Below are 25,005 nucleotides of genomic sequence, written 5' to 3' on the forward strand. Positions count from 1 at the left end.
TTCCACTCTGGAACCCCCTCCAATTTATTCTTCATCCAGTAGCCAAAGTATTTCTACAACATCAATACGGTCATGCACCACACCCACCTCCCTCCATGTCCCCAGTCTCCCACTTTGCCTTTCAGTGGCTTCTTTTGTACTTAGAATGGAATAAAACTCCTGCAAGCTCTTGCATTATCTGGCCCCTGCCTACCTTCTAACCTTGTTTAATACCACTGGTCCTTTTGTTTACTTGTTCAGCAACATGGTCTCTCTCTCTCTCAGCTCCTTGAGTATACTTGTAGCTCCTCTCTTCTGTAATGTTTTTCACTCTTCTTACCTTTCAGTATGTCCATCTTGCAATTCTCTATCACAGAAATCTGTCACAGCATCTATTATATATATTTGTTATATATATATAACAAATATATATATAATATATATAATAAATATATATATATTTGTTATATATATAATAAATATATATATTTGTTATATATAATAAATATATATATTTGTTATATATAACAAATATATATAATAAATATATATATTTGTTATATATATAACTAATATATATAACAAATATATATATATTTGTTATATATATAACAAATATAGATAGATAGATAGATAGATATATAGATAGATAGATAGATAATATATATATGTATTTGTTTGGTGTTTGTTCCCTACAAGTCTTCTCCTGACTTCACTCACTAAAACTCCATGAGTGACTGGGATCCCAGCTGTGTAGCTAGAACACAGCCCAGCACTTGGCACATAGAAATTGTAGGCAGATGCTTGTTGAATACATAATGAAGAAAAAAAGGAAATGCACCAGTGAGTGAGCTGCAAACAACTGTTAAGAAATGGACCCATTTCAAGCAAAGAAACCATGCCTTCTCAAGTCCGACAGAGCTTAAAGGTAAAAAGAAAAAGAAAAAAAGAAACCACTTCTGTAATAGTTACACTGTTTGTCCTCAACCAGTTTGTCTTGAGTCTGCTGCATGGCTGGTCATTTCACTCCTGCACCCTGCTTTCTTAGTGGAGTTACATTTCTTCACTTAAAACTAAAAGAGCTCCTTTTTTAGGAGAGTTGGCCTGTTCACACAGGGAGATGACTGGGAGGCCAGCTTCAAGTTTAAAAAATGTTATTTCTGAGAGCATAGTCTACATACATGGAATCCAATGTCTGAAATCACTCCCACAAAGTTTTGTAGTGTAACAAGTCAGGGTAACTAATGTCACTCACCGCCATACAAATCCATGGAATTTGTGGCACAGTGTGGAGGTTAGACAGTTAGATGTTCCTCCTTTACATTGCTACTGGTTCCCTATGTCCATCCAAACCTAGAAAAATAAATAAATCTTTAATAAAAGGAACACAGGACCAGATATCAGGGGACCTGGATTTTAGGTATGTCTAGTTTACTCACTGATATCACAAAGACAGATTTTAAGTTCTTAATATATACTAAGTGTTGAAATATCCCTTAGTGCTCCATCCTCATCTATAAAATAGCTAGATACAAAGAAGAAATAATACGGTTTTATGGAATATCTTTGCAAATTAAAATGGCAGTTCTCAAGTTGGGGTTCATGGTGTTCTAGGGGCCCCCATGACCACTTTGAGTTGTCTGAGAAATCAAAACTATTCCTTATGATAAAACAAACAGGATTTGCCTTTCCCCACTATGTTGATGTTTGTATTGATGGCACAAAAACAATGCTAGCAGTTTAGTATGAATCAAGTCAGTGGCATAAAAACAGTTTTATTTAAGAGATATTTAATGAAGTAATAAAAATCATTAATTTAAAAGAAGAGGCAAGGTGTGGTGGCTCTCACCTGTAACCCAGCATTTTGGGAGGCCGAGGCAGGAGGATCACTTGAGTCCATGAGTTCAAAAGCAGCCTAGACAACACAGACAGACTCCCATCTCTATAAAAAATAAAAATTAGCCCAGCGTGGTGGTATGAGCCTGTAGTCCCAGCTTCTTGGGAGACGGAGGTAGAAGGTTCACTTGAGTCAGAGAGGTCGAGGCTACAGTGAGCTATGATTATGCCATTGCACTCCAACCTGGGCGACAGGATGAGACTCTGGCTCTAGAAAGGTAAAAAAAAAAAAAAAAAAAAGAAAAAGAAAAAAAGAAATTGGCCCAGTGCAAAGAATCTGCTAACTAAATGATTATCTTCTTTAAATTTATTTTTAATTGTCAAATAAAATTGTATATACATGTGATGTTACAAGATTGTTTTGAAATATGTATACATTGTGAAATGGTTAAATCAAGCTAATTAACAAATGCATTGCACCTCACATATTTATCATTTTTTGTGGTGAGAACACTTAAAATCTACTCTCTCAGCAATTTTCAAGTATAAAATACCTTGTTATTAACTATAGTTTAGGTCAAGTATTAAAAATTCTTCAAGAGATCAGATGGGCTATTTATTACTAGAATGCAAATTAGACATTTTTGTGGAATTTTTCCAACTACATTATTATAGTATTGCTGTTAATAAAGAATGTACTTTAATATGATACATATCTTTGTAAGAAATGTTAAAATCAAGAGTAGAAATAATATAGGGAGACCGGGCATGGTGGTTCACACCTATAATCCCTGCACTTTGGGAGGCCCAGGTGGGCAGATCACCGGAGGTCAGGAGTTCGAGACCAGCCTAGCCAATATGGCGAAACCCCGTCTCTACTAAAACTACAAAAATTAGCTAAGCATGGTGGTGCATGCCTGTTAATCCCAGCTACTCAGGAGGCTGAGGCAGGAGAATCTCTTGAACCTAGGAAGCAAAGGTTGCAGTGAGCCAAGATTGCACCACTCCACTCTAGCCTGGGCGAGAGAGCAAGACTCCATCTCAAAACAAAAAAGAAAAGAAAGAAAAAAAAAAGGGATAATATAGGGCATGTAAGAGTCCACTCACATGAGAGGACACAGGACCAAGGGTCAAAAAAATGACAGAAACAAAATAGTGTGTCTGGTACGGCTGGTACAGAGAAAAGAGGACGCAAGGAATTAAGGAAGAGGAGAGAACAGCCAAACTTTTCAGGAAAGAGGGAAAGGAAGCCAGGAGCCTAATGTGGAAGACGGAGTTAAGGAAGAACTAAAGCCAGCTTTAAATATCATGGAGAGGTAAAGTGGTTGGAATTTAGACAAATTCCATGGGAAACACCAACAGGATTTGCTGGTGGAACAGATGTATTCTGAAAAGAGATTTTATTTCATCAAGGGAATGGAATTTTCTTTTAAATTTAGAAATCTGTAGTTTCATTTTCCATATAAGCCACATCCATGAAATTATAATACACATGAACTAGAGTCTAAAATCTATATTCTAGCTAAGAACTGGGTGATTGAATTTATCTTTTTTTTTTTTTTTTCAAAGAAACCCTGGGACACTCTTGATAAACAGTCTCATCACATTTGAAGTTCTGGATTTCCAGACTGAGGCTGAGAAATTACATAACCAGAAATATGGTTAACTTCTGAGAGGCAAGCTCCAGGTGAGGCCAGAAGCTAACTCCTAATTAGGGCCAGATATCCTGAGAGTTGTAAAGTTTAGAAATTAAAATAACTTTTTCCTCTAGGATATGATTGGCAACTTCTCCTTTGGAAATCATTTATTTTATTAAAGCAGTTACTATTAGAAGTCATTCCCAGAGCCTCTTTCAGAAAAGCAACAATATTTATAACTGCCAACTCGTATTTATTGAGTGCTTACTGCCAGGGACAATACTAAGTGTTTTACATGGTTTCTATTGTGTAATATTTATAATAGTGCTTGTGATGAGATAGAGCTCCCTATTTCGCAAAGACAGAAAAGTTATTTTCCAAGATAGAGAAGTTAGGTGACTTACCAAGGTCTCACGGTGCAAAGGGTAGAAGAGCATCTGATTCCAAAGCCCATCTCGCTAATCGATGCATAACCCTAACCCTAACCCTAATGATGTCAGTGCCCACTGAGTCAATCTCACACAAGGGCAAGGTTCAGTAAATATTTGCTGAATAGATTAAGTATTAGGAGAAAGTTCAACAGCCTTCAGCAAAACCTGCAATGAGAAGGTAAGGAAAAGGTAGCAAAGCCAGGACGACCCAAGCTCCCTCCTGCCTGATTCCCTTTACAACTATGCCTAGTACTTCCATATGATAAATTCTAATTAAATATTTCTCTTATCCAGCCCTGTCATTCATTGCTTCCAACCTCTCCTAGAGTTTTGATAGTACACAATATAAAATTCTTCTTTCTCTCTTATGTATCTCTTATGTATCTTTTTTCTCTCTTATGTATCTCTTATGTATCTCTCTTATGTATATGAAGGCCAAAGGTGAACACAACACAGTTTCAGATGGGATATCTCTTTCCCCAAACTCTCACATCATATCTAGGAGAAGGAATAGCTAATCTTTTCCTGCCTAATAATTGAGATCATGAATAAGTGGGACTTAGAGACTAAAGAAAAGATTTATTCTCACCAAGTATGTTCATGCTTCAGTCTTGTCTCAGATCTGTTTTTATAGGGACTGTCAGATCCATTTTCTCTCCTATTTGGCCCACAAGGAAGCTATTAGGGATGAGGCGCATTGAGATTATTTCCAAAAAATATATTGGCTATGCCTAGTTGTATAACCAAGTTAGAATATTTTGGTAATAACATGACGCTCATTTCAAACTGCATTTGTATACTTTTTGTACAATATTATATGTATGTATACATTTTTAAAGACCAGGGGCAAGAGCATATTAAAACTTTCCCAATTTCCTTTTGAGGAAAGAATCTCCCAGTAACAGTGACAACCATGGTTACCCTTGGTTGAACACCTGCTGTATCCTTTCAACAAATACTCTACCAAGTACCAGGCACAAGGAATACAATACAGAATGCTTTGATTTGGCTCTGTGTCCCCACCCAAATGTCATCTCTGAATTGTAATCCCCATAATCCCCACATGTCAAGGGAGGGAACTGGTAGGAGGTGATTGGATTACGGGGGCAGTTTTCCCCATGCTGTTCTCGTAATAGTGAGTGAGTTTTCACAAGATCCAATGGTTACATAAGTGTTTGACAGTTCCTCCTTCACACACTCTCTCTCACCCACCACCATATAAGACACGCCTGCTTCTCCTGCCATGATTTTAAGTTTCCTGAGGCCTCCCCAGCCATGGGGAACTGTGAGTCAATTAAACCTCTTTTCTTTGTAAATTACCCAGTCTTGGGCAGTTCTTGATAGCAATATGAAAATGGACTAATACAGAGGACAAGACAGAGTCCTTGCTCTGGTGACATCTTGGTCTTTCTAGATGCCTTATGTATTTATTTCAAATCCTCACAGCACTCTTGTAAAGAACATTCATTTCCTTATTATACAGGTAAGAAATGTTAAGTCTAGAGAGATTAAGTAGCAAGCCTGAGGTCGTGTAACAAACAAGTGGTGTAACGGGGATTGCAGCCCAGGTCTGTCAGATTCAAAGACAAAGACTTTCCCAGCATGCCATGCTGTTTCCTCAGTAATTACCTTCCCACCAGCACCAGATAGACTTCAGCCTTTGAGGAGCCAGCCATTTAAGGGAGGACTGTTACCCACAGCGTACTATATATAGGGAACCTATTGATAAGAAATGTAGTTGTTAGTGCTTCAAGCCCCAACCAAGCTTACTACATTCACCAATTTCAATCCTCATCAAAGGCAGGGAAGAGCCTTCATTATTCCACTATCTTCCACAACCGCAGTTACCCAACAGTTCAGAACTTTGCAGATTTGTGGAAATTCCCCAAGGGAAGGGAGAAAAAACCTGAATCTCTGCCTTTGAATTTCAGATGTGTTGATAACCTTCTTCCTATCCTATCAGGGAAGATGAAACTGATCTCACTAGATATCATTTAACTATATTCGGAATAATTTCAAACCTAATATCTAGGAAAAGATTGGTTTGTCAGAGATAATCTAAATTAAGAAGGAAGACTTATTACATTCCAATTGAAACCATCCATTCAATTAATTCTTACTACCGACGAGGGTAGAACCCATTAAAGATGAGCAGGATGGCCTTCAGGTACTTAATTTTCTCTAGACAGTTTTTCCCAATCCACAGCTCAAATGAAGATTAAAAAAAAAAAAAAAAAAACCCTAAGAGAACAGAACAGAGAATGTAATAACTTCTGTCTCTAGCTATTGGGGCTTAGTTTCCTCATCTGTGAAAGGAGGGGTTAATCTAAATGTCCCCTACCAGCTCTAATAGTTTATAGTTTTATGAACATTATAGCCTTGATTATTACAGGTTTCTTTTTCCAGCATCCAGATCTTTTTTTTTTCTCCAGATCTTTTTCCTTTCAAAATGTTCGGGGAAAATAATATCTTGGAAATTCAGATGGAGAGAATATCTTCTTTCAGATATCAGGATTAGTTTAGAATTTAGTTCAAATAAATATATTTTTGTTCCAGTATCATTTATCTGTTTTTTCCTTTGAGCTCCTGTATTAGCATGTCCGTTGTAAGGCAGTGAGCATATTATTCCTTTTTTTACGGTTATTTTTGTGCTTACTTTCTCCTGCCCAGGATTATAAATTATTTGAGGACAAGAGTTACATCTTATTCATTCTAACATTCTGCAAAGAGTCTTCCTAACACATTGTTTTACACATGGAAGAAGCAGTACATTGTGCTGAGTTGAATTCAGAACATGAAAATATAATGCCAGAGAGACTTCCAGCGATAAGGAATAGAAAATACCTTAAAATGTACTTGAAGTTAGTCTAGTATTCTTTAGACTAGGATAGCAGTTACCAGGTCAGATTTTTGACATGAGACTGACATGGGATCTAGTTGTTCTATGTTGTGTGATTTGGGGCAAATTTTTTATCTGTCTAAATTAACTCACATTAAAAATGAGAATGACTATAGTACCTACTCATAAGGTTGTTTGAGAGCACAATGATATAATCCATGTAAAATGTTTACCATGGAGTAAGTCAAATCAAAACCACTCCCAAAGGCTAAGCATTTTAATTGCTATTATTAAAAATATCTATGGTACCTAAATTCTAAAGAGCACTGACTCATTGGTCTTGTCTCACCTATGATAGTCTGTGGGGTTGTTTTTAGCACCTAAGGTCGGAAGATCAGACTTGCAATCCACACCCCTTCATTAAACCCATGGATGTATGGTGTTATTTTTGATGGCAGGGAATCACTTAGAAAGGGAGATGGATCTCTAAATAAATGTCTATGAACAAGGCTTTTAGGAGAAAGCAGGCTCAAGGGAAGGGGTAGTGCAGGAGACTGTGTCAGCAATCCAACTCTAGTCTGTGCCTGTTGGCTACATCAACACCTCCATAGCAAAGAGCTTTAGAGGAATTTCCATGTAATAATAATTTCCACACTATTCTTACATTGAGAGAAAAATTGGCCTGCTTCATTGACAGGTTGTTTGGTCCCTTCTGCCTGATTTCTAAGAAAAAAGTGAATGGCCATACTATTTATAAAGCTTTACATTCTATTTCTACTTCTTTAGTTTTGTTTTTAAAGGAAAAGAGCATGTTCTCAATGATTTCTAAATTCACAGTATCTTCTCTATTCAAATTCTATTTGTATTCTGCCTATCAGTTCCCACTTACTGCGCTCCACCGAGAAACAGGGACCTTGAAACATCGTTTATTCTTTGATGACTTCATTACCTAGCACACATAAAATTGGGGTTTGTTCTATTCCTGCTTGTAATATTGCTGGATAACAGGGTCAGATTTTTCAGGTGCTAGGGCAGAGGGAAGAGGGAAGCACACCTTTTTTTAGAAAGTAAAATGAAGGTTTGAAAACATGCTTATGATGCATTTATGTGATACCCATCCAGCGCGAACTAGTTTTAACTTTCCTTGCATGTAAAAGGGATACAACAAAAGTGTTCTCCTTTTGATGATAAAGAAAAACTCCTTTTTCTCTAATCTTTAGAGATTTTTCTGAAGATTTGCTTTCACTTTAACTTCAGGGCCGTAAGATGAGAAGATTACATTTAATGTAGCCTACTCAAGAATAAATGATTGAAACACAATTCAGCTTTAACACTCAATGTGTATTCTTAGGAACAAGAGAAGGTGCTCTCCTGGTCTCCTGAAAAAAAGTCTCCTTCTGACTTCTTCCTACTTAAGAGAAGAGCACCTGCCATGGAACTGTGCTTCTCATGGGCAGTGAAGTATTGTGTTAGAGAAATTTCATGGCCTCTGCCCAGTCTCATAAATACACCTCCTTATCCCAGCTCTCAGCACTTCCCTTCTGTGTGGTGATATGCAATCTGGTTTGGTTCTGATCGAGTCATTGCCTCAGCCAGCCTACATGTAAACATGTGAAGGAGTCACATCTGTGGGGGAAACATGCTCATTTGTAGTGTTTGCCCATTTCTGTGGTGTAATTACTCCCTCGTGCATATTTCAAACTACCAACATAATGTCACTGAACACAGAGTAGAACACCCTGATGTAACATTTCCTCCTTATAGATACGACTGACACAATTAACCTTAAGAGCATAGATAACAGTAAAATAATTAGAAAGTAATGAGATTTTAGTATAATTATTAACTTTGTTATTAATATAATTCATATAACTGTAAGTTTATACAACTTAATTTTTAATAATCAATGCGTTTGTTAATAAACACATTAATAATGTGTTTATTATTATTAACAATGTGTTTGTTAAACGCAGTTGTTACTGGCTTATGAAATTCCTAAAAACTTAACATGTAGTTGCATGGCCCAGTAAGACCTGGGTCCAGCATACCACTGCTTTTCTAGGAAGATTTCTCAGATGCTCCAGCCTGGGTGAGTTGCCCCTGTGGGTGTTCCGTCACACTTCTTACATTCTATAATAATTGCCTGATTTCTTCTCCAAACCCTCTTGGGAGCAGGGACGTGTCCAATTGGCATATCCCCAGCACTTATGTTTGTGACACTCAACAAATATTTGTTGAATCGTAGGTGGAAGGAATGGTAGAGCCCGTCTGATGTAAATTACATGCTTACTTATATTCTGCAAAGTGATCTTACAGAACTGCTTTAAACCTTACAAGCAAAGGGCATATGAAATAATAATCATGTAGTCAGGCCAAGAGGATTAGGGCTTTTTTCCTCTCCACACTCAAAAATTTGCTTTGTAAAGTTCCTTGTAACTCCTCCTTCCTCACCATTTGGGAGGAAATATCAAGGTGTTTTGCTGCCTGAGAAATGCAAATCCTTCAGGGAAAAATATCTTCTCATGCAATGCAAATGAAAAGAATTTCTTTTATTGTAGAAAAGATTTTAAGAAGTATGCAATACATCCGACAGATATTCTGGAACCAAGCTGTGTGAGCATCAGGAGTAAATTTTTTAAACCTTAAAACTGACACAGTAGCTGGCTTTTTAAAATTGAGGCCAATGAAAAGTGGACAAAACTAAAACTGATGGCTTGCCTTGGTTCAGTAGAACCCAAAATTCTCCTAACAGAGTGCTGAACCCATCCAGGGACATAGAGTTTGCCAGAGAACTTGGCCTGAGGACCATTGTAATCAATCTTTAAGGAAAGAAACGCATGAATCAGGGAGCAAAGAAAAAAGAGAAAAACAAAATGAGAGGAAAGGGAAGACAAAAGATGACTAGAGAAGAGATTATTCTAAGATCTAAGGATGAATAACTGTTTTGTTAGAAGGCAACCCGTAAAAAATTACCACACTAATTAAAAAAAAAACTGACATTTAAAATGCCTTTGTAGTGAGTATAATAATTTTATATCTAAAGAAAAAGTCGTCATCAAGATGTTTTAAGTTTATATTCAGGAAACCACTTTTTATGCTATTAGATAAATGCTGTTAGAAATCCCCTAAAAGTGTGTGAAATGAATTTCTAAGGTGCCAGTTATCTTATGTAATAGTATAATGTAGCTCCTTTTGCTACTACTTTTAATGAAATTTTTTTAACATATTTCAACTAATTCTGATTTGCTTCCTAATGATACGTGAATGCTCCCAGGCACACACATTTCAGTCACCACTTCCACTTTGAGAAAGGCCCTAGCTCTGTGCTTAACCTAGACCATCATTGGCAGGGATAGGATACAACTGCTCCAATGTACAGGTGCCGCTGTTTATCATTTTGACAGATTGGTGATACCAGGAAGTAAAGAGCCCAAGTTGTCTGCCACTTTGCAGTAAGCAGTGGCCATTGCCTGAGCTCTGAGCCCAGCTGTCTCCAGCACCCACGGCTCTGATAGCTCTCCCACGGGCCAATCAGGAAGCCAATCTAACTATTTTGTGTGCAAGGTCCTCCTAACTGGCTTATCAAGCTCACTGAGTGGCTATTATCAACTGATCAGGAAACAGTATTTTGGGTCTCGTTATCACTTTAAACAAAGTTGTCCATTTGGCTTTGCTTTAATTTAGCCCAGTAAATGTAGTAAAGGAAATAGCAAATAATTTGTTTTACATGGATACATGATTCATTCCTTCAGTCTGAGGAAGAAATGTTCAACCTTGATTTTGAAGAGATAATTGATCATTTGAGATAATGCATATAAAACACATAGCACAGTGAAGTGTCTGTCCTATCATAGACACTTGATGAGTGTTCATTGTCTTTCCTTTCCTATCTTTTCTTTCTCATTACAGAAATCTACATGCTAATTGCCTTCAATAAATGTTTGCAAAAGGGGACGATTATGACTAAAAATTTTATTTCTTCATAATCTTTCATTCTCAATTTTTTCAAACACATATCATGTGCTGGTAACTCCTACAGATACTGGGATACAGTAATGAACAAAATGTATGAAAACCTATTCATCATAGAGCTTAAATTATTCATGGGTAATTCTGCGTAATCCTTAGATTTGATTTATTAACCATTATTATTCTATTTAATTACAGATTACTTACTTAAAATAAGGCACCATTATACCTCATGTTTTCAGTGTATTCTTCTATGCATCATATCATTCTATCTTCCCAACAGCTTTGAGAATTGGGGAGAACATTGTAACCCCAAGGTCACACAAGTATTAGGAGAAAGATTAATATTAACATTCCAAACTTATAGACTTGTGTTTCTGACCTTTTACAATGTTCTGAATGTATGTGTCTCTCCAAATTTCATATACTGAAATCCTAACACCTAAGGTGATGGTATTTGGAGATGGAGGCTGTGGGAGGTAATTAAGACATCTGGGTGAAGCCCTCATGGGCTGGATTAGTAGTGCCCCTGCAGAAGAGGCCTGCAGGAGCTTGTTAGTCCTTTTTGCCCTTCAGCCATATTCGGACACAGCAAGAAGGTGCCATCTATAAAGCAGAGGGCCCTCGCCAGATACCAAATCTGTTGGCACTTTGATCTTGGATTTCACAACCTCTATAACTGTAAGAAATAAATTTCTGTTGTTTATAAATTACCTAGTGTAAGGCATTTTGTTATAGCCACCAGAATGCACTGATAACACCTATTGGTTACTCCACAGCCATTTCTTGTGAAAATAATGGCTGCACCTGGACAAATATATGGTATCCACACTAATGAAGATACGATAGCTTCTATTTCCTTGAGTATAAATGGAATATATTTGAATTTCCCAAGTAGTAATCTAACAGTTCATTCATTGACACTGTAATATAAATTAGAATCTCATAGGTAAATAAAACATTACCCTTAAAACATCAAATCTAATTAAATCCAGGTAACATTAACTGTTACCTGGATTTAATATAAAAGATTAGAGCTCTGTTTGCAAATTTCAATATTTGCCTATATGAGAATAGCAGCACCTTTCCCCCATTATGGAAACCTGCTGAGTAGAAAGTGGGAAGACAGAATTTTTAAAAACCACAGGAGCCGAGACGGGATTTACCTGCAGCCACTGCTTTTCAGGTTACCAGTAGTGACTTTTTAAATGTATAATCAAGCTGCAAAAGACAATGAAGAAGATAAAGAAGATAAAGAGGTAAAGGTATAAAGCTACATGTGCCTCCAAAAGAGTGGGCACCTTAGTTTATTTTAAGAGAAATACGTTAAGATGCCCTAATATTTTTAAAGGAAAAATACTTGTATTTAGAAACCTAAGACACAGCACTTAAACCTGTTATCACCACACCTCCTCTTCCTTCCCATCCCTCCAGAATTATAAAATGTTTCTCCTTTCAGCCCTTCCTATCCTAATGTCAGCTTCTTTAATCTCAGAATGCCAACAGACTTCTGAGACATTATCTTAGTAATCCTCTTAAGAGAGAGGATTCATGAGCCAGATATCTTCCTAAAATCCACAGGTTTTGCAAGTCAGCTAGGTGGAAGGAGAATTGCTTTGTACATCTGTAGCATCTGTCTGCATTGAAGCTTCCAAATACTTTCCCGAATTATCTAATTATCACTTTCAACATCCCTTGGAGAGAAGCAGGCAGCGGTCAGGAGGTGGTAATACCGATTCTGTTTCTTAAAGGGGTAGAGCGAATGATTTGTACCACAATAAGTTGGCTTATCCTGCAGCGATAACCTCTAAAAACTTCTGTTCTGTTGTAAAAAGAAGCCCTTTAGTGTCTTAAAATAGCATTCTTCTCTGGAATTAAAAGCAGAGGAGGGTGGAACAGCTTCACAAATACCTCTAAGTAAATGCAGTTCTATCTGAATCACGTCTCTCCTTGGCAGGTTACAACCACCTTCACAGTATATCTCAGGGTGGGTTCTTTGGAACACCAGTCTTATGAGAACCCCATGAGGAAACCATGGTCAAATAGTTTTGGGAAACACTACTGATGTCATCCTCCCTGTCAATGAGTCTGACCACATGTTATCATGATGGAGCCCTTGTGAAGTTACCTAATTTAACTTTAATAGGTGGAATCTATGATTTATATAACAGCCATTTGCCCTTAAAATAATATTTTGTGGAAAACATTTAAGAGACATCCATTAGCAGGGTGTGGTTGGCATGCACCTGTGGTCCCAGCTACTCGGGAGGCTGAGGCAAGAGGATAGCCTGAGCCCAGGAGATTGAGGCTGCAGGGTGTTGTGTTTGTGCCATTGCACTCCAGTCTGGGCAACGGAGTGAGACCCCGTCTCTAAAATAAAATTAAAAGATTTTTAAAAGGTTAAAAAAAGAAAGAAAAGAACAAGAAACATCAGACCAGACATTTTTTCTTCAAATTTTCTTATCTAGAAAGCAAAACTTCTGGAAAATACAGATTATGGCATGATAAAATTAACTATCAGGTATGTACTTTTCTAGACACATGGTTCTGTTTTTCTGCCTTACATATTGTACTTTATCATCATAGTGTATCTGTGTGGTAAATAATATTGTTATTCCCATTTGACAGACGAGCAAACTGAGGCTCAGAGAGGACCCTGTAAATGTTGGCATGGCAATAGGCTGTCCTCAGCCTCATCCATCTGCCCACCTATATATACTTGTCCTTGGTAAATGCAATCAGTTTCAGGGCTTTAAGTACCATCTTTAAGCTGATGATCCCAATCTCCATCTCCAGCCATAACCAACTGATCTACTGACTCTCATTGAACCTATGGCCCTATCCATCACATTATTATTTCTCAATTGTTTTTTTCCCTTATTCAAAATGTAAAATGTTGGGATACCCAAGCCACTGAGGAAAAGGCTAACTGGTCTCTTATACTAACCTAGCCATGGCCTTCATGAGCCACAAAACTGTGCCTAACTATACTGCTGCTAGAGCAAACTCAGAAAATTGAGACGGTCCAAATTTTCTGCCCAAAAATTTCCTTTGTCACCCACCTCGTGACTCTCATATTTTAAAAATACTTTTTTCAGGATAACAGATTGCTTGCTTCTTAGTCTGCTCAGGCTGCTATAACACAATGCCATGAACTGGGTGGCTTATGAAAAACAGAAATTTATTTGTCACATTTCTGGAGGCTGGGAAGTCTAAGATCAAGGCTTTAGCAGATTTGATGTCTGGTGAGGACCTGCATGGTGTTTTATAGATGATGGCACCTTCCCACTGTGTCCTCACATGAGACAAGGGTGCTGTCCGGATCATTTGTTGTTGTTTTTTTAATAAGGGCACTAATCCTATTCTTGAGGGTAGAGCCTAATCACCTCCCAAAGGACCTACCTCCTAATTCCATCACATCTGTGATTAGATTTCAACTTATGAATTCTTGGAGGACACAAATATTCAGACACATGTATTAAACATCAAATTATTAATTTTTACTTTGTAAGTCATCTAAGTTATATGATGGATATATGTTAAGGTATATTCTCAGTATAAGACTAATACAAAAGTTTTTTTATCATTTCTAAGCAAAAACAACGGCAAAGTACTCCTTTGTAAACCATTCTCATTAGGTTTTGTAAAATTCTGAAAAATAGCTCTTGATCCCTAGGCTGGGAACTTCTGTAATGGAGGGGTCCTTGCGCCCAGAGCTCCCAAGATGGCCACGGGTGGCTTCCAAGATGGCGACAAGCCTCTTGATCTCTGACCTGGGGTTCTTGGCCTCACAGATTCCAAGGAATGGAATCTTGGGCCATGGGGTGAGTGTTACAGCTCTATTAGAAGCCGTGGGTCACGGAAGAGAACCGTGGAATCCAGCGACTAGTGCTTAGCTGAATTAGGACAAACCGAGGCACTTAGCCGTGCAGGAACAATGGCAAGCCTTTAGCCCCATCTGGAGCGGCAAGGGGCACCTCGCTGGATCAGGAGCACAGTGGACACCCGCGGGATCCGGAGGGGTGGGAGTCAGCAGTGGGTCTGCAACGGCAGCAAACAGCAGTGGTGGATGGTGAGCGAAAGCTCAGCTCCAGCCGTAACAAACACAGACCAGAAGAGTGTGCAGTTGCAAGATTTAATAGAGTGAAAACAGAGCTGCCATACAATGGGAGGGGACCCAAAGAGGGTAGCCCTTGCTGGCTGGAATGCCTGGGTTTATATCCCGATCATTGTCCCTCCCCCTGTGCTCTTAGGCGATAGATGATTGGCTATTTCTTTACCTCCTGTTTTGCCTAATTAGCATTTTAAGCTCTCTTTACTACCTGATCGGGTGTGAGCTAAGTTGCAAGCCTCGTGTTTAAAGGTGGATCCGGTCACCTTCCCAGCTAGGCTTCAGGATTCTTAATCGGCCTAGGAAATCCAGCTAGTCCTGTCTCTCACTTCCACACTAAAGGGTTTCTTTTATGGCACTTCTGTTTTTCTAAGGGTATGATAGGATCTCTGTTTAGGGGCTTTCAAGATGTGAGGTTGTTGTGACAGATTGTTATGTAGGTCTCCACCTGATTATGTGGCCAGGTGTTGTTTCCAAAGTAATTAGAAGTCAGTGTTTTCCTCAGTTTTGGTCACAGACCCAGTGATTTCTGCATGGAAGCTATCTTCAACATCCAAACCTGACCTAAATAACAGAAAGCTACTAGGCTATATTGACTAACCTATGTTCTGTAATAATTAACTCCCTCCAAAAAAAAAAAAAAAAAAAATTCCAGCAAACGTGAGGTTTTTCCATTATGATGAAATATCTCCCTAGAACACTAATATTCTTTCAGGGCATTCGTGTTTCTTTGATTTAACTTAACCCAGTGAGCCACATTTTTCCCAAAGGGTGAATTAAAAAGTCCATTAACTCTTTCAGTACATGGCTTCATGAAATCTCAGCAAGGCCGTTAGTATTGTTTCGCCTTAGGCTTTACATTTTTTAAAAGTCAGCTGTCACTTTCAAAGCAATCCAGAATAGCACACTCAACAGATCCCTGGAGCTTTGGAAATGTTAATGCCCTCCATCAGCAGCGACCTTGCCAGAGGGAAGTGATTTAGGCACTACGGAGAAAAGGGCCCACTATCTTTATCACATCGGTTTACACCATCAGCTTCAGAAATTGTGTGAGAGAAGAATAATCAATAGTGTGTTAAGACCAATCTCGAGGAATGCCAAGACAAAGTACCGCCGCTCTGCAAAATGCTGAGTTGAAGGAGAACTTTTGAATACAACAAAAGAAAAATTAGCTGTAGTGGTAAAACAAAATGAATTGTGTCTCAAGACGGAATTTGTCATTGTGAATGGCACTCAGGAGCTCTCTGCGTACTTCAGTGGAATCACATCATATGCGTGATGAAAAATGGTTGTTTTAGAGTTAGACAACACAGAATGAAATAACAAAACTGGAACGAATGCGTTGCAAGTATACTACATGCAAGTTAAGGATCAGCCCATGTAAATAACCCCAAAAAGTTTACTGAAGGAAAAATATCTAGAAAAATCATCTGCTATGGAGAAATGGAAGAAATAGAATAAAGTTAAACTTCATCAAAGTTTCCTGAAAATGTTACTGCATTTCCTGTAGTTCTAGTAAAGGTATTATCTCTCGATAACCAGCACAGAGTGTAAAGCTTCTAAAAACAGCAAAGGAAGTGTCTCCACACCACCCTGAGTGAAATCACTGTGGAAAAGAACTGGCAGCTCAGTCTCTAAGATCATTACAATACAATGTTTGATTTCCCATAGCAATCTTAATTGTGACATGAACAGCTGTCAACAACAAAATTAGAGGAAGCTGTTATTATATGGATTTCATCCACATTTGCTTGTCCTATTTCTATACCACTGCTCAAGAGAGTGTTTTTAAAGAATTCTTCCAGTAGAGATTTTCATTACTCAAAGGGGAGTTACTGAAATTATTTGGCTTTATGTGCTATACAATGAAATAATTTGTCATGATAACAGGAATCCCAAACGGATGTTTATAGAATGCCAAATTCAAGTATGTAAAAGTGAGATACAATTCATTTAATCCTGAAATCATCCTGTGGAGTAACTATTGCAATCCCTATTTTTAGTACAGTTGATTCTCTTTATTGTAGTTATGTTCTATAAAGTCACTGCAAACATTGACTTAGCAAATACTGAACCGTTGCAGCAATGAGAAATACAAGGTTAGGCTCCTGCAAGCCACTGGGCACAACAGTTTCATCAACCAATCAATATGTAGCCTTGTGTTATGTGTGTTTCTGTGAAAAGACACCTTATTTAATATATATTGTTGATTCATTAACATTGAACTCATAGCACTATAACTCAGGCTTGAAGTTTGTCTAACATACATATTTTTGCTATAAGACACATTACACATCTTGTGGTTAGGAAAGCTTGACAGTACTTCAGCCCGATGCTTGGGGACCATTTTAAACATTGAAATCAACAAGAAAAAGCACAAAAATGTGAAAAACATTGTACTACATAGACCACAAAGAGAACACTTGTTTACAGTCTGAGAGCTGAAATAAGGAGAGTGTCTTCTCCAACCTCAGCTGGGAACATGACTCAGATTTTTTGGCACTGTGTCTCTATGTCCATGAGAGTGCTGTGAGTATTAATTCTGGGGTTACAAATAAATTTTAATGAGTAAGCAAATTTGCAAATATGTATCTACCAATAATAAGATTGACTGTGTATGCTGAAACTATGAGTCAGGGATTATAGTTGGTCACTGTGTATCTGTCTGGGTAATTCTTTCTGTTATATTAGTGGTTATACTTGTTTACATTTCAAAATTAGAGTTTATTGGAGGTAAAAGTTTCATAAGAAATGTGGACACCATTGCATTGCACATTTCTGCTTCATGAATTTAGGAGAAAACTCATTGTATAGCTGTTTTTACTTTTCAATGGTTCTTCCAGGTCTTTCAGGGATGTGGTCAGCCCAAACCTGCTCCAGCCCTCAGATCTGCCCGCTCAGCTCCTGAAAATTTTAATACACGTTTCAGGCCCTACAATCCTGAGGAAAGACCAACAACTGCTGCAGGCACAAGCTTGGACCGGCTGGTGAGTATTCACAGATTGATAACCATGGCGGATGCTTTGTTTTACCAAGGTCATTCTTTGAAACTCCCAGGAGATTCTGGAAAAGTTTGTTATAAGAGTCATCTCATGCTTATATCTGCCTCTGTTCTTAATTAGAATATTGAAAAGTAATGGGATCTTTCTTTTGGGTCATGTATTGGATTATTTAAGAAATCTATTAATCCATTAAGAAACTATTAATGCATGTATGCAGTGACCACATTTTCAACTTCTTATTTCTCATGAAATATTAATTTGAAAACTAAGTTGCCAGTTCTTCCAGAGATATAATTGCAATAGCACATTTCTTACTCATCTGCTTCAGTTCTTTTCTGAAAATGGTTATGTATTCAATTATGATATAATGCAAGTTTATTATGACTTCTTATTTGCAAAGTTTTCTGTTTGAAAGACCTTGCCCGGAAACCCCAAATCAATGTTACTATCATTTTTTTTTCTTTTTTATGTGTCTTTAAAAAGTTGGAATCCTTAGAATTAGTCACTCTTTGAGCTGTTTAGATGTGTGTCAGGGGACTTAGTGATATCCATCATCAAAGCAGTTTATAATACTCGGAAAATACAACCATAAACATAGTAAATACAATTTTTAAATGTGTTTTAAAGACCAAATTTTGCCATTTAAAAAAGCTCATAATTTCAAAGAAATACTGCCTGATTATTTTTAATTCAATTTCTTCCATTTGTAGTACTGTAAACACTTTATATACCTACAATTGTTAGTGCTATTAATGTTGCTTTGCCAATTATCTTGATGTAAAATTAACAGATAAAATCCTTAATGTCATAAAGCACTTGAACCACATCTGACTGTGTCATATAAACTTAGATCTCAAAGACTGCCAGTTATGAAAATACTTTTATTAGTCACTGTTATAAATTGCTTTATGATTTTAGTTAATATCCTTCTATAGTGTAGAACTCATAAGATTATATTGGTTGAATTTGGCCTCAAAGTAAGTACATCTCAGCATTTCTGTCTATAAAAATCAAATGTGCTTACAACCTAAAGGCCTATCCATGAAGTATCAAAATAAAGGGGTAACTAACTGTTACATTTTGTTATAAATTTATTGCCATTTATTAGCAAATAAAACCTTCTCTCTAGTGTAGATATTTGTAGTTGCTGCAACCTTCTACTTTACCTGGCTTATATCTATTCTTTTTTTTTTCCCTTGAGACGGGGCTTCACTCTGCCCCAGGCTGGAGTGCAGTGTCATGATCATGGCTCACTGCAAACTTGACCTGCTGGGCTCAAGTGATCCTCCTACCTTAGCTTACTGAGTAGCTGAGACCACAGGCATACACCACCATGCCCAGCTTTTTATTTTTTTGTAGAGGCGTGGTTTTGCCATGTTGTCCAGGCTGGTCTCGAACTCTTGAGCTCAAGCAATCCACCTGCCTCGACCTCCCAAAGTGCTGGGATTACAGGCATGAGCCAACGTGCTCAGCGGCTTACATCTATTCTCTATTGCAGTTTCAGGAAAAGTTTAAAAATAGTCACCATTTTTCTTTTAAACAACCAATTAGATTCCACCAAATAACTAGTCAGCTGTTTTAAAGAAATGATGGTTTTCATTAGATTATATTGTTTAAATTTTACTTTACAAATTGCATTGTATATCAAGATCTTTCTAACCAGAGGACAAATGGTGAGTATGGGTTTGGTCCCTTTTTTCCCATTTTTGCTGGCTCTAACTTAGTTATTGGAACAATTCAGTCTTTTCTGAATTTTTGTAAAATCTAATTTAAGAACAGGAGTACAGTGTGAGATGAATAAGTTCTAAAGATCTGAGGTACTACATTGTGCCTGCAGCTAACAATAGTGTATTGTTCACTTAAAAAAAAACTGTTAAGAGGGTAGATGTCATGTTAAGTATCCTTACCACAATAAAATAAGAAGTTTTAAAAGAACTGGGTACATTTTGCACTTAGTTAAAATTGCACTGAATTTGAATAATATAATGATATGTATGGCAACTAATTAATTTTTTCCCTCTGAAACAGAGAAGCCGTTTTCCTTCATCCCCGGGAGAAATAAACACACACCCTTAAACAGGGGAAGTAGAGCAAGAAAAATATGTTTCTAAAGACAATGTTTTTGCAGCTTAGCATAAACTAAGTAAAGCATCAACACTTCGAGAATTTTCTCTGGTGTTTAAAATCTGATGGACATGAAAATTGAGATTTGAACCTTTTATAAAGGAACTTTATTGGTAATGTTCAAAATGCTCTAGCTATAAAGGTCTCGAGAGTATAGACAAGTAGCAAACAGAATGAAAATCTTCTACCTTTTGCACCCCTCAAAAATATATTTTATCCATCTTTTTCTGAAAATGATTGGTAATGGTTAAACGTATCATCACAAGTAAAAGCCAAGGACCAGACTCTGTGCCTAAGTATTTAAATCAATAAGCCAATTTTATTCTAAAACATTCTCAGACAGCATGTAGCATTTACTTCCTCAAAGGTGTGGCTTCAGGCTCTGTAAGTGAAAATTGCAGTTTTACTGATTTTTTTATTAAATTCTGATCCCTTCCCAAATGGTAAGAATTAGTGACGTGTAATGCACAGCCAGCCATAAGCCCACTTTGCTCAGCTCCTGAGAACAAGGCACTGTTTGCGCATCAAACGGAGCTATACCGAGGTTATTCCTGAGAGACACGAGTTAGGTCCAAAGCTAATAACAGAGTCTCAGCAGCCATTGGCTCTCCTGAGGCCTTCGTCCTTTGGGGTTCCAATATAGCTCTGAACACTGGAAAGTTGGGGGAGTTATCCTTGGCCAGACTCCAGTCCAACAGTCAAACACGCTCATCTTTAAGAAGGATGCACTGCGAAACTATCCAGATGGGCCTGTCATCCATTACAGCCTATTTAGGCTGTTTATAAACAAGTCTCATATTACCTACTCCTGTTTTAATTTTCCCTGGAAAAGATGTTTCCTGAATATTTATAAGAAGCATGTGTCTGAGAAAAGGAGGATAATTGGAAAAGATTTCTCTTCATTTCTTGAAGTGTTTCAGCAGAAAAATGCTTCCAAGGACGATATCAAAACACTACTCCAATCACCCCACCCCTTTTGCCAAAATGAAAATAACTATAAAGCACTTGGAGAGTTACTTCTTAGTGCCATTTAAATTAGTACCTGTGGTAATAACTTTGGGCCCTGTTGGTAAATGTTCTTATATCAGTTATTCTAAAGCTATTTTTTTAATGTGAACTGGTCGTTATGGGGTTTGTTTTAAAAATAAAACTACCAACCCCAAGCTGAGTAAACTGCTGCTATACCTTATATAAAATAATTGAAAACAAAACTCTCTCTTAAAAAATACACCAGTTCCATCATTTAACATCTTATTATATTTATAAGGAACTTATAAATTCTTTTGTATCTCTAGGGAACATTTCCATTTGCTCCTCTAAAGTTATATACACATAAGAAGCAGTTGAGGTAGTCAGAAGCTTTCAGACATACTACCCTAAAGTGGTTTGTGTTATCCAAGAATGAGTGAATGTATTTTTATAAATTTAGCTGCTCATGGAAAGCCAACTCATCTGAGTCTATCGCAGTCCCTACCGCCAACAGCCATGATTTGTTGAGGATACTAATGTTATCAACTGCAGTAATTCAGTTAACAGAGTCATCCTACCATCACGTTGCTTTCTTGTCACCAACAAACTCCCCTTAGAAGCCCCTCTGTCCTAGCTGACTATTAATGACTTTCAATCAAACAGGCCAGAGATTATTGTTTGTACTCAGGAAGAGACTGGTTATGTTCCTTTATTCTTAAATGTGTACTCTGCAAATTCTCTTACATAATTTGATGTGAAACTATAATTTTTTAAAAGACGGTTCCAATTCACTGGAAATGTCAAGTATAAAAATAAATCAGCACAAAATAGCTCGATTTTTAAGATCTGAGCATCAAAAGGTATTTCAAATTAGCCTCTGTAAAAGGCAATTAGTTGTACAGCTCAGAAAATTAGAGCACAACATGTTCTACAGCTCACAGACGCACTTGGACAGGGAGTGTCAGTTACTTTATTCCAGCTGATTCATTAGAGTAAAAATGGACTGTGCATGGTGTATCTTAGAGGAATATATTTTATAAAAGTAAATTTAAAAAAAAAGCCAGGTTTGGAAATTAACTCAACAAGTTGGTGATGACTTAGAGCCATAAATCTCCAGTAAGTATTCAACACTGTACTGTGGATGTGGATTTCTCAAATATCCTACTGGTCATTCTGAGGGAATTTGGGGTGGGGATGGGTGGAATGCCAACCAACAAAGCTCAACTTTGTGCCTGTTCTGTGCTATTATGTATAGAATAATCTCTTTTTCTTTTTCCTTTAAATTTGTTTTCCTCTTGCTTCCCAGAGGACTGTGTGGCGGACTATGCAGCATAGTGTAAGCATTGGTCTTATTCTTCCTCTCATTCCCATTTGTCTTTGTACAGTCATTCCGGAGAGTCCCTGAGAAATTCCTCCTCCACTATCCCTTTCCAAATTATCTGGAGTGGATTGAATACTGCACATAGCCAACTTGTTTAGTCATTTCCTCTCTGCTTGTGATTTATGGTTAACAACCATTTTCATATTCTTTTCCAATGGCCAAGTTTTCAATCTAATCTTGGTGGAAGACCAGCTCATCGAATGGCTGATTTAAATTCTGTCCCAATGTTCAGACGATGCGTAGTCCGCCTGGAAAACTAGCTCTTCCCTGTTAGAATATATTGGCCTTTTTCTTCTTGTGCTAATAAGAACAAACCAACATCAGCCCTCATGCATAAGGTGCTAATGTTTCCATTAGCTGAGACATAGAAAATTCAAGGGATTAAAAAATAGGTTGTTTGCTTTTCGTTTTCTACTTGAATTTCCTGATATCTTTCAGAGCATTCAGAGCATTTGGAGAGGGAACATTGGATATTTTTTACTTGAAAGATTACCCCCAATATGGGGCTGAGGACAAGAACACTCAGGCTATCTTACTTGACTATATCAACCAAAATAATCAGTTATCTAATCTGGTTTCCACAATACCATTGCATGCTAATAACACTTTTTTTTTTTTTTGAGATGGAATCTTACTTCTTCCACCTCCCAGGTTCAAGTGATTCACCTGCCTTGGCCTCCCGAGTAGCTGGGATTACAGGTGCACACCACCACACCCAGATAATTTTTGTATTCTTAGTAGAGACGGAGTTTCACCATGTTTTCCAGGCTGGTCTTGAACTTCTGGCATCAAGTGATCCATCCGTCTGGGCCTCCCAAAGTGCTGGGATTACAGGCGAGAGCCACTGTGTCCAGCCCTGATAACACTTCTTAAATACATGCACTCTACATGGTATCATGGACTGAGGAAGGAAGGTGACTCTCACCTGAGGGGCACATACTTATTTGTGCAGCACACCTGTGACATCATAGTGTTAACTGTTTGGCCTTAAATCCAGGCAGTGATAACACAATGTCTAAAATCCCTTCTTTGAAATCATGTTTTTAAAAAGAAATTGTCCCCTGAGTACTATCCCCATTCATTATTCCTGAGATCATATGCCCATATCCATATGCCCTGAGACCAGGGCAATTTGGGTGAAGAAAGTTAGGAGGTAAATCTGGAACAGGAACGCTGCAGAAAGGAAGACCTTGAGAAGGGGACAGGGAAGACAAATAGCTCAAGGGCTCCTGACACTAAGAGGGAAAGGGGAGGGGAAAACATCATGGGTGGGACAAGTCAGGGTTCTGTTCGATTGGTCCCATTGATAACTAAAGTGGCTTCAGTTAAGTCAGTAGTGTCTGCCCTTTCCAACACAATCTCTTGGGAGCTCCAGGTTTTCCTGCAGCTGGTCCAGTTCAGTTTCCTTATCTAATAGTTATCATGACCCTTGTAGCTTTCCTGAAGAGTTATCACTTCCTTGAACATACTGGAATGAATACATATCATAACATCCCTGTGTGTCTGCTGGACTTCCCTACTTGTCCCTATAACCTTATCTAGGCCAAAACAAACAAACAACACAAAAACCAGATGTCTGTTTTGTATATGAATCTTCCAAAAATACACTGTAACTTTTGAAATTCATCGGTAGGTCACTGGTGACAAACATGTTGTTAATATTATTACATACATATTTAAGTACTTACAAAAGATCATCAAGATATGCAACTTTTTTAATTGTTCTGAAACAAAATGGACAAAGCAGCTAACATTCTGGCATTATTTCCTGCCTGATGGTTAGTACCAGTTTCAGTAAAATGCTGGTGATAAAAATGTTCTTCCATGCCTCTTTGGGGCTGTTTTGGTGCGATTTAGAAACTGTTGGTTATAAGAAATCAGGAAACTGTCTGTTGTTCATTTTAAATTGCCATGGCATTTCATTGTCACCTCAAAGGATTCTGCACCCAGCTAAATCCACTAGTTTGCATTTCAAAAGGATGTCAGGCTGTGCTTAAGAAACTGCTTTATTATCTAGACCTTCAGCCACTGTGTTTAGGTGAAACTGATATTTCCCACCTTCCACCCCAACACAGACACACACGAAGACACACACGCACACGCGCACGCACACACACACACACACACACATGCACTCACCCTCAGTCTTCGCTTGGCCTGAACAAAAAAAGTAAAACCTCAATAACAACAGTAAGCTAGATTCTCCACTTTAATTAGTTTTCTAAAGATAAATGGGTCAAGGCCAGATTGGCTTTCAGCCTCCGCTGCAGCTGAATAAATTATGTCCCATTCACCCCAGCAAACAAATGGCTACTGCTTCATCCACTTCAGGTTGTGAACGACCCGGTCTTGCCTGAACCTGCTTTATCTATTTGCTGCGAAACCCCACTGAGACACCCCAGTTTCATTTTCAATGAACCCTTGGTAATAACAGCAGCAAAATGCAGTGAGCTTTCAAAGCAGGGAGAAAATAAAAAAACGTTAAAACCAAACCACCCAACGTATTCTGTCTCGGTTTCTGCTCTTCTCCGGGCAACATCAGCAGCATGTGGTAGCAGAGAGAGCCGCCTGTCACAGGCTTCTTTCCATTTAGGAGGCTGTGATTGATAAGGCCCAAGTGGGGAACATCATAAGACACATATATAAAATGATGGCTTATCTCCAGGATATTCTGCTTATTCCATGGAGTGGAAGGATGCACGAATCTAATTCAATGGTATGCACTGT

General features: G+C 37.9%; 1 protein-coding gene across 4 annotated transcripts in view, besides 1 other annotated feature; it reads left to right on the plus strand.

The window, feature by feature from the left end:
- The window catches only part of GPC6 (glypican 6), a 1,191,492-nt gene that overhangs the window by 1,071,806 nt on the left and 94,681 nt on the right, over nucleotides 1-25,005 (plus strand). For all 4 annotated transcript variants that reach the window (XM_047429990.1, NM_005708.5, XM_017020300.2 and 1 more), the window contains one exon: nucleotides 17,646-17,789. In XM_047429990.1, coding sequence (XP_047285946.1) covers nucleotides 17,646-17,789 — 144 coding nt within the window. The remainder of the gene's footprint in view (nucleotides 1-17,645; nucleotides 17,790-25,005) is intronic.
- Nucleotides 23,925-24,494: an enhancer, noted in NCBI's record as "NANOG hESC enhancer chr13:94964513-94965082 (GRCh37/hg19 assembly coordinates)". NCBI's record gives its function as "activates a minimal SCP1, AML or CMV promoter by ChIP-STARR-seq in naive H9 embryonic stem cells {active_cell/tissue: H9 hESC(naive)}" and the evidence as "EXISTENCE:reporter gene assay evidence [ECO:0000049][PMID:30033119]".

The sequence above is a fragment of the Homo sapiens genome, chromosome 13, assembly GCF_000001405.40.
Source record: "Homo sapiens chromosome 13, GRCh38.p14 Primary Assembly".
In the NCBI taxonomy this organism is placed as follows: domain Eukaryota; kingdom Metazoa; phylum Chordata; class Mammalia; order Primates; family Hominidae; genus Homo; species Homo sapiens.